General features: G+C 49.7%; 1 long non-coding RNA gene across 1 annotated transcript; it reads right to left on the bottom strand.

Moving 5' to 3' along the window:
• Positions 1-734: 734 nt before the first annotated feature.
• LOC105375313 (uncharacterized) lies at positions 735-8,630 on the bottom strand. Its single transcript, XR_927567.2, has 3 exons — positions 8,266-8,630; positions 6,459-6,575; positions 735-766 (listed from the first exon to the last, which is right to left on the bottom strand). It is a non-coding gene; the product is annotated as an uncharacterized LOC105375313 (long non-coding RNA).
• Between the last annotated feature and the right edge of the window lie 500 nt (positions 8,631-9,130).

Below are 9,130 nucleotides of genomic sequence, written 5' to 3'. Positions count from 1 at the left end.
GACCAAGGCAGGTGAATCACCTTAGGTCAGGAGTTTGAGACCAGCCTGGCCAAAATGTTGAAACCCCATCTCTACTAAAAATACAAAAATTAGCCAGGCATGGTGGTAATCATCTGTAGTCCCAGCTACTAGGGAGGCTGTGACGGGAGGATCACTTGAACCTGAGTGGTGGAGGCTGCAGTGAGCTATGATCACACCACTGCACTCCAGCCTGGGTGACAGAGCAAGACTCTGTTTCAAAGAAAAAAAAAGAAAAAGTCAAGAGCATGGAGAGTATTAAATTCAGACAAAACCAATGGTCTATCATCAGAACAGCTCCATTTTTTTGCTATCATTATGTGTTAAGGTCAATTTGCTAAACACGAATATTTGTACTAAAGTTTTAAGTGTACCATATAACACATTATTGCTGACTTAGGTTTAATGTCCTTTGCCGTACAATATACCTGAATATCTTACTTATATATCACAACAAAAGCATCTTTCCCTAAGGCAATTACCATTAATACTGCTTTAAAGTTATAAAATGTGGGCTGAGGGGTGGCTGTAATCCCAGCACTTTGGGAGTCCAAGGCAGCAGATCACAATGTCAAGAGATTAAGACCATCCTGGCCAACATGGTGAAACCCCATCTCTACTAAAGTACAAAAATTACCTGGGTGTGGTGACGCACCCCTGTAGTCCCAGCTACTTGGGAGGCTGAGGCAGGAGAATTTCTTGAATCCAGGAGGCAGAGGTTGTGGTGAGCTGAGATTGCAACTCCAGCCTGAACAACAAGTGTGAAACTTTGTCTCAAAAAAAATTTATAAAATGTGAGAATTGCTTTTATAATTTTACAACACCTGAGCATTACTGTCTTTAAACTAAAAAATCTAATAAATCACCATCACAACAAAAGCCCCACAAGATAATTTGTTTCACCTTATAAAAAGCACTGACATTTAGTGTGTGGTAATTTGTTGCAGTAGCCACGGGAAACTAGTATTGTACTGAAGCCTCAACACCCACCTGAAGGGGCTGGGCATGGTGGCTCATGCCTGTAATCCCAGCACTTTGTGAGGCTCAGGTGGGTGGATCACTTGAGGTCAGAAATTCAAGACCAGCCTTCCAACATGGTGAAACCTCGTCTCTAAAAATTACAAAAATTAGCTGGGGGTGGTAACACATGCCTATAATCTCAGCTACATAGGAGGCTGAGACATGGGAACTGTTTGAACCCAGGGTGGGGCGGAGGTTGCAGTGAGCCAAGATTGTGCCACTGCACCCCAGCCTGGGTGATAGAGTGGGGCTCCATGTCGACAATAAGAAAACAAAACAAAACAAAACAACACAAAACCCCACCTGAAGGTTTCCAGTTCTTTCAATAGTCCCCCACCCAACCCCTTAGAAGCACACAGTCTTTTGCTGTGGGCCATGGAGAGGAAGAAGGAAGCACCTCCTCATGGCAGAGGCCTACCCAGGAGAAACTCAAGGGAAGGCACTGCCAGGCCGGTCCTTCTGCCAAGGCCATTTTCTTTTTTTTTTTTTTCTGATGGAGGGACACAGTTTCACTCCGTCTCCCAGACTGCAATGCAGTGGCACAATCTCAGCTCGCTTCGACCTCTGCCTCCCCAGTTCAAGCAATTCTCCTGCCTCAGCCTCCCGAGTAGCTGGGATTACAGGAGCACAGCATGTCTAGCTGATTTTTGTATTTGTAGCAGAGATGGGGTTTTGCCATGTTGCCCAGGCTGGACTCAACCTCCTCACCTCAAGTGATCCACCTATCTCAGCCTCCCAAACTGCTGAGGAGTGAGCCACCGCACCCAGCACTCACCAAGGCCTTTGATGGCAGGCTTTTTCCAGGTGACCACTCCTTGTCTGGTCTGGTTCTGCCCCACTCTCCCTCTCACCAAGTTGGAATCCGTCACTACTTTTCAGTAGAGGAGAGTGTGTACCCCAATCTCAGCTTGGTATGATTCAGATCTGCATTTAACTCATGACATCTGGCTGATCCTCAAGCCCTGGAGAAAAAAAAGGGTCTCTCTGTGAGTATGATACAGGACAGGTCTGTCCCCAGGACCCTGGGAGAGGGAAGCCCAATGGCCCACCAGGTTGGCAGGGCTGGGGAAGGGAAAGTGTTATGGTAGCCCCAAGACTAAAAAGAGGCAGCAGAGGGAGCAGGACATCACTCCCATTGAACTCATGCCGCTGCCTAAGTGAGGTGAGGGAGGAGTGCACCCGAGTGACATGAGGGGGCAGAGAGGCACGGTTCCAGGGTGGCTTTCACCCTTACTTCCTGCCATGTTACTCTGATCCCCTGCAGGTGAGCCTGCCCACTTTTGGCTTAGGGCTGCTGCTGGGGCCTGTACTCAAACGCAGCCCCCCCATGGCCATGGCTCCATGAGTGGGGCAGAGCAGGGAGGAGTCCTAGACAGAGGAGAGGCTGGGGCAGGAGGGAGTGGGCCTCAAACTCCAGGAGGGGGCCCTTCTCATAGGTCCTCTTTTCCGGCCTCTTCTTCCTTACCCCTGGGCTGATCACCTGGGGAAGAACTGAGGCAAGCTTTCTCATCCTCAGGTCTGAGGGGTTCAATTACTGGGCCCAAGTAGCTGGGATTACAGGCATGCACCACCACACCTGGCTAATTTTGCATTTTTAGTAGAGTCAGGGTTTCTCCATGTTGGTCAGGCTGGTCTGGAGCTCCTGACCTCAGCTGATCCACCCACCTCTGCCTTCCAAAGTGCTGGGATTACAGGTGCGAGCCACTGAGACTGGCCAAGCAATCCTTTTCTAAAAATGAGCTGGGCTCAGTGGCTCATGCCTATAATCCCAGCACTTTGGGAGGCCGAGGTGGGTGGATCACTTGAGGTCAGGAGTTTGAGACCAGCCCGGGCAACATGATGTAATCCCATCTCTACTAAAATAAATAAATAAATAAATAAATTAGCCAGGTGTGATGGTGGCCACCTGTAATCCCAGCATCTCAGGAGGCTGAGACAGGAGAATCACCTGAACCTGGGAGGCAGTGGTTGCAATGAGCCGAGATCATGCTACTGCACTCCAGCCTAAGTGACAACAGTGAGACTCCGTCACAAACAAAAACAAAAACAAAACCAGATTCCATCTCAAAATAAATAAATAAAACAAAAAATGTGGTATGGCAATGAAAATAATTACTGTGTTAAAGACAGTTTCGTAGAAAATAGAAGACCACTCAGATACAATAAGCTGTCTTTTTAGATGAGTATACTTGTTATTCTTATTTTACAGCTAAAGAAACTGGCTCAGAGAATGTTATTCAATTCGACCATGTTGCATTTCTGGACGGTGCGGCTGAGATCAGACTTCGTGTGTAACTCCACTAGCCTACCAGGGTGCCTCTCATAAAGGTAAGAAATGTAAATTTGGCCTAATCTACAAAGTTGCCAGGGCAGCACTGGGTCAATTCTACATACAGTACTTCTATATTCATCAAGGGAAACCTTAAGGGAAGGTGAAAATGCTTCTAGAAGGCAACTGGACACCAGTGCCCTTGCTTGTTGCCTTTGGGCTCTTCCTCTAAGGCCAATAGTGACCTGAAATTACCAACTAACTGTTTCAATCAAGTGGACAAAATGGTACCAAGGTAATCAACATCAGACAAATTCATTTGAGGACCTATCTATGTGCTTTGAAAGACAAAACTTTTTGTAAAGGATACTGTATTTCAGAAAAACAAAATCATATTAACAACTAATAACACTGTAAAATGCTGATGTGTTGAATGCTACTTTAGAAAAACATGTTCAAATCTAGGAAAAAAATTTGATAGAAAACTACATAATCAGCTGGGCGCCGTGGCTCACGCCTGTAATCCCAGCACTTTGGGAGGCTGAGGCGGGTGGATGACGAGGTCAGGAGTTCAAGACCAGCCTGACCAACACAGTGAAACCCCATCTCTACTAAAAATATAAAAAATTAGCCAGGCATGGTGGCGTGTGCCTGTAATTCCCGGCTACTCAGACAGGCAGGAGAATTGCTTGAACCCAGAAGGCAGAGGTTGCAGTGAGCAGGTGAGCCAAGATCGCACGACTGCATCCCATCCTATGTGACAGAACAAGACTCTGTCTCAAAAAAAAAAAAAAAAAGAAAAGAAAACTACGTATCAATTATCTAGCTAGCTAGCTATCTAGAGAAATGGTTTCATTCTATTGCTCAGGATGGAGAGCAGCAGGATGATTATAGCTCACTGCAGCCTTGAGCTCCTGGCCGCAAGTGATCCTCCTGCCTTAGCCTCCTAAGTAGCTGCGGCCACAGGTGAACAGTTACACATGGCTTTTTGTTTTGTTTTGTTTTGTTTTTTGTACAGAAAGGGTTTCACTACATTGCCTGGGCTGGTCTCAAACTTTAGAGTCTCGATGTGTCACCCAGGCTGGGGTGCTTGGTGTGATCTCGGCTCACGGCAACCTCCACTTCCCAGTTCAAGTGATTCTCCAGTATCAGCCTCCCGAGCACCTGGGACTACAGGCATGTGCCACCACACCCGGCTAATTTTTGTTATTTTTTGTAGAGACTGAGTTTCTCCATGTTGGCCAGGCTAGTCTCGAACTCCTGACCTCAGGTGATCCACCCACCTTGGCCTCCCACTGTGCTGAGATTACAGGCGTGAGCCACCATGCAGGGCCAAACACTTTCTTACTTTATTAAATAGCATAACCCAGGTGGGGCACGGTGGCTCATGCCTGTAATCCCTGCAAGTCTGAAGGCCAAAGTGAGAATATCAGTGAACCCAGGAGTTTGAAACCGGCCTGGGCAACATAGCAAGACCCCCATCTCTACAAAAAATACAAAAATTAGGCTAGGCGTGCACCACGCCCAGCTAATTTTTGTACCTTTTGTAGGGACGGGGTTTCATCCTGCTGCCCAGGCGGGTCTCGAACTCCCGAGCCCAAGCCATCCTCCCGCCTCGGCCTCCCAAAGTGCTGGGATAACTGGGCCCAACCAGCCTCATGTTTTCCTTAAGCAGTCCCTCCCTGTTGCACACTTGGGTAGTTTCCTTTTTTACTTTTTTAGACAGGGGTTACCTCAGTCTCGAAGGCTGGAGTGCTGTGGTGGGATCACAGCTCATTGGAGCCTTGAACCTTGGGAGTTCAAGTAGCTGGGAAGCTGAGGTGAGACTAAAGAGATGGGGTCGCGCCAGGTTAACAGGCTGCCCTTGGCCTGAAAGGATCCTCCGGCTTCGGCCGCCACCGGACACAGTTTCCTATTTTTGATGGACATACACACTGTGCTGGGTGGGAGTTTATCAACTACCTTTCTGCTGCCAGCAATACAGAGGACCTGGAGAGGAGGTGGCGGTTACCAGGCTCCACTGTCAGAAGACTGACCATCTCCAGGCACTATACCGCCCCTGTGACGTCGCGAAAGACCAGCTCATAGGACTTTTCGAATGGGCGCCTCTGAGACGTCAATGAAGGCGCGCCCCTATGGCGTCACAGAGGACCGACTCTCATACGCAGCCAATCGGAAGTGAAGGCGGGGCTTCTGGGTCTTCCTGGAGTGCGCATACATGGGCCAGCGGCCATAAGAATTACAATTTACCCCATCGTCCTCTGAGCTTTGGGGATGATGGATGAATAAATAGAGGCACAGACAGGTGATCTACCCAGAGCTGATGAGTAACAAGCCTGCTCTCAGGCCGTGTGACTCCTAGATTAGTACTCTTTTTTTTTTTGGAGAGAAAGTCTCACAATCTCGGCTCACTGCAACCTCCACCTCCTGGGTTCAACTGATTCTCCTGCCTCAGCCTCCCAAATAGCTGGGGCTACAGGTGCCTGCCATCACAGACATCTAATTTTTGTATTTTTATTGGAGATGGGGTTTCACTATGTTAGCCAGGCTGGTCTCAAACTCTTGACCTCAGGTGGTCCTCCTGCCTCAGCCTCCCAAGTGCTGGGATTACAGGTGTGAGCCACTGTGCTTGGCTGCTTTTTTTTTTTTTTTTTTTTTTTCAAAATAGAGATGTTTAGCCAGATGTGGTGGCACAAACCTGTTGTCCCTCCTACTAGGGAGGCTGAGGTGGGAGGATCACTTGAGCCTAGGAGGCAGAGACTGTAGTGAGTCAAGATCATACCAATGCATGTCAACCTGGATGACAGGGTGAGACCCTGTTTAAAAAATAGAAAAGATATGGGGTCTTGCTATGTTGCCTAGGCTGATCTTGAACTCAGCCTCAAGCAATCCTCCTGCCTCAGCCTCCCAAAGTGCTGGGAGTACCGGCATGAGCTGTTGCACCTACCCCTGGGAACTTTTTGCTGGGAGTGGTTTCTCTTATCTGTCCTGGCTTCAGGAGGGCAGGACCCCAAACCAAGGGTTTCTTCAAGTGGACAGCACTTTGGGAATGAAAGTGGGGTCAGTACTTGGTGTGCTGCAGAGGTGGCTATAGCCTACAGGGCCTGCTAGAGCCTAGGACAGCACTTCATGGGGAAAGCTTGGGCCTTACCTGCCCAGGATCTCGTTGGGCTAATAATTGTCATGGAAGTCCTGTGCGGAATGAGAGTCCGGCAGTGCCTCATCCCGGGTCATGCTCAGATCCTCAGCAAGGGAACTCTGGGTGGCTCTGAGAGTGGAACACAAAGAAGCTGTCAGCCCTCCTGACCCAGGGGTTGTTCTTGGGGCCTGGAACTGTTTCTTACTCACCCTTACATCTCCTGGCACCACACTGGCCTACAGTGAATGTTCCAAATAAACGTTTGTGAATTGAGGCCAGGCATGGTGCCTCACACCTATAATCCCAGCACTGTGGGAGGCTGAGGCAGACAGATCACTTGAGGCCAGGATTTTGAGCCCAGCCTGGCCAACATGGTGAAACCCTATCTCTACTAAAAATACAAAAATTAGCTGGACATGGTGGCTGGCACATGCTTGTAGTCCCAGCTGCTTCAGAGGCTGAGGCAGATTTGCTTGAACCTGGAAGGCAGAGGTTGCAGTGAGCAGAGATCGCGTCACTGCACTCCAACCTGGGAGACATGGCAAGACTCCAGCTCATAAAAAAAAAAAAAAAGGCTTCTTTGTAGAGATCGGGGTCTTGCTCTGTTACCCAGGCTGCAGTGCAGTGCAACAATCATAGCTTACTGCCGCTACTGCTGCCTCAACCTCCTGGGCTCAAGCTATCCTCACACACTACCCTCCCGAGTAGCTGGGACTAAAGTATGCCCCAGGCTTGAGTGCAGTGGTGCAATCTCGGCTCTCTGCAACCTCCACCTCCCAGGTTCAAGCGATTCTCCTGCCTCAGTCTCCCAAGTAGCTGGAATTATAGGCGCCTGCAACCATGCCCAGCTAATTTTTTGTATTTTTAGTAAAGACAGGGTTTCGCCATGTTGGCCAGGCTGGTGTTGAACTCCTGACCTCAGGTGATCTGCCCACCTCAGTCTCCCAGGAAGAAGAAACTGTTGGTCTCATAAGTGTCCCTCAGCTGTACTGAAATGGAAATGGCTAGCTCATCTCAAGTGGCAGGGGAGCCCGGGCAGGGGCAGCTGGGGCACGGGGGTCAGGGACCGAGGCTGCTGTCAGCTAACTTCAAAAGCTGACACGGGAATCAGGAGGGTGCTCAAAGGATGTCAACCCGGGGTGTGGGCAGGCCCAGGATTACAGGTGTGAGCCACTGTGCTTGGCCACTTTTTTTTTTTTTTTAGTAGAGATGGTTAGCAAGATGTGGTGGCACACACCTGTTGTCCCTCCTACTAGGGAGGCTGAGGTGGGAAGATCACTTGAGCCTAGGAGGCAGAGAGTGTAGTGAGTCAAGATCATACCACTGCATGCTGACATGGATGACAGGGTGAGACCGTGTCTAAAAAATAAAAAAGATATGGGGTCTCACTATGTTGCCCAGGCTGATCTTGAACTCAGCCTCAAGCAACTTTATTATTATTATTGTTATTATTTTTAGAGACAAGGTCTCACGGTCTCACCCACACTGGAGTGCAATAGTGCAATCATAGCTCACTGCAGCCTCAAACTACTGGGCTCCAGTGATGCTCCTGCCTCAGCCTTCTGAGTGGCTGGGATTACAGGCATGCACCAGCACGCCTGGCTCATTCAGCCCAGGGACATCAAACCCCCATCCCCTCACCTGCAACCATCCCTGCCTGGGACCCCTTCTGTCAAAGCAGTGAGGCTACAGCTGGGAGCCTTGAGCCTGGGTGGTTCTAACTGGCTGTGTGGTGGGGCCACATTCCCTGGCTTGGGCTGTCATGTCAGGGCAGAATCACAGGGGTCACCCCACCGTGGAGCTTGGGACCCTCACTCACTGATGTTGAGGTGCCCTGAGACCTTGTGCAGGATGTCAACCTCCTTCAGTGTGGCTTCTTGCAGCTCCTGCACCTCCTCGGGGGTGAAGCTGCTTCCACTGGTGACGTCGATGACCTTCACAGCATGCTCCTGGCTCGTGGGCTTGTGGATGCAGCACCTGACCATACTGCTAATGCCCCTGGGAGTGCAAAGGACAGATGGCCTCAGGGGGCCCCTCACCCCACGGGGAGTCCCAGATTCAAGGCTGCAGCAGACATGTCCTGCCCTTATCTAGAGATTTACACTTTCCCTCAACTTCCTCTGAGCTTTTGGGGATTGTGGATGAATAAATACAGGCACAGATAGGTGATTTGCCCAGAGCTGATCAGTAGAAGCCTGCTCTCAGGCTGTGTGACTCCTAGTTTAGTCATTTTTGGAGAGAAAGTCTCACTCTGTTGCCGAGGCTGCAGTGCGGTGGCACGATCTCGGCTCATGCAACCTCCACCTCCTGTGTTCAAGTGATTCTCCTGCCTCAGCCTCCCGAGTAGCTGAGACTACAGGCGCCTGCCACCACACACATCTAATTTTTGTATTTTTACTGGAGACGGGGTTTTACCATGTTAGCCAGGCTAGTCTCAAACTCTCGACCTCAGGCGGTCCTCCCACCTCAGCCTCCGAAAGTGCTGGGATTACAGGTGTGAACCACTGTGCTTGGCCACTTTTTTTTTTAATAGAGATGGTTAGCAAGATGTGGTGACACACACCTGTTGTCCCTCCTACTAGGGAGGCTGAGGTGGGAGGATCACTTGAGCCTAGGAGGCCTGCAGACTGTAGTGAGTCAAGATCATACCACTGCACGCCAACCTGGATGACAAGGTGAGACCA

This window comes from Homo sapiens, chromosome 7 (genome assembly GCF_000001405.40).
Source record: "Homo sapiens chromosome 7, GRCh38.p14 Primary Assembly".
NCBI classification, from domain to species: domain Eukaryota; kingdom Metazoa; phylum Chordata; class Mammalia; order Primates; family Hominidae; genus Homo; species Homo sapiens.
This window is presented reverse-complemented; position numbering and strand designations above follow the sequence as displayed.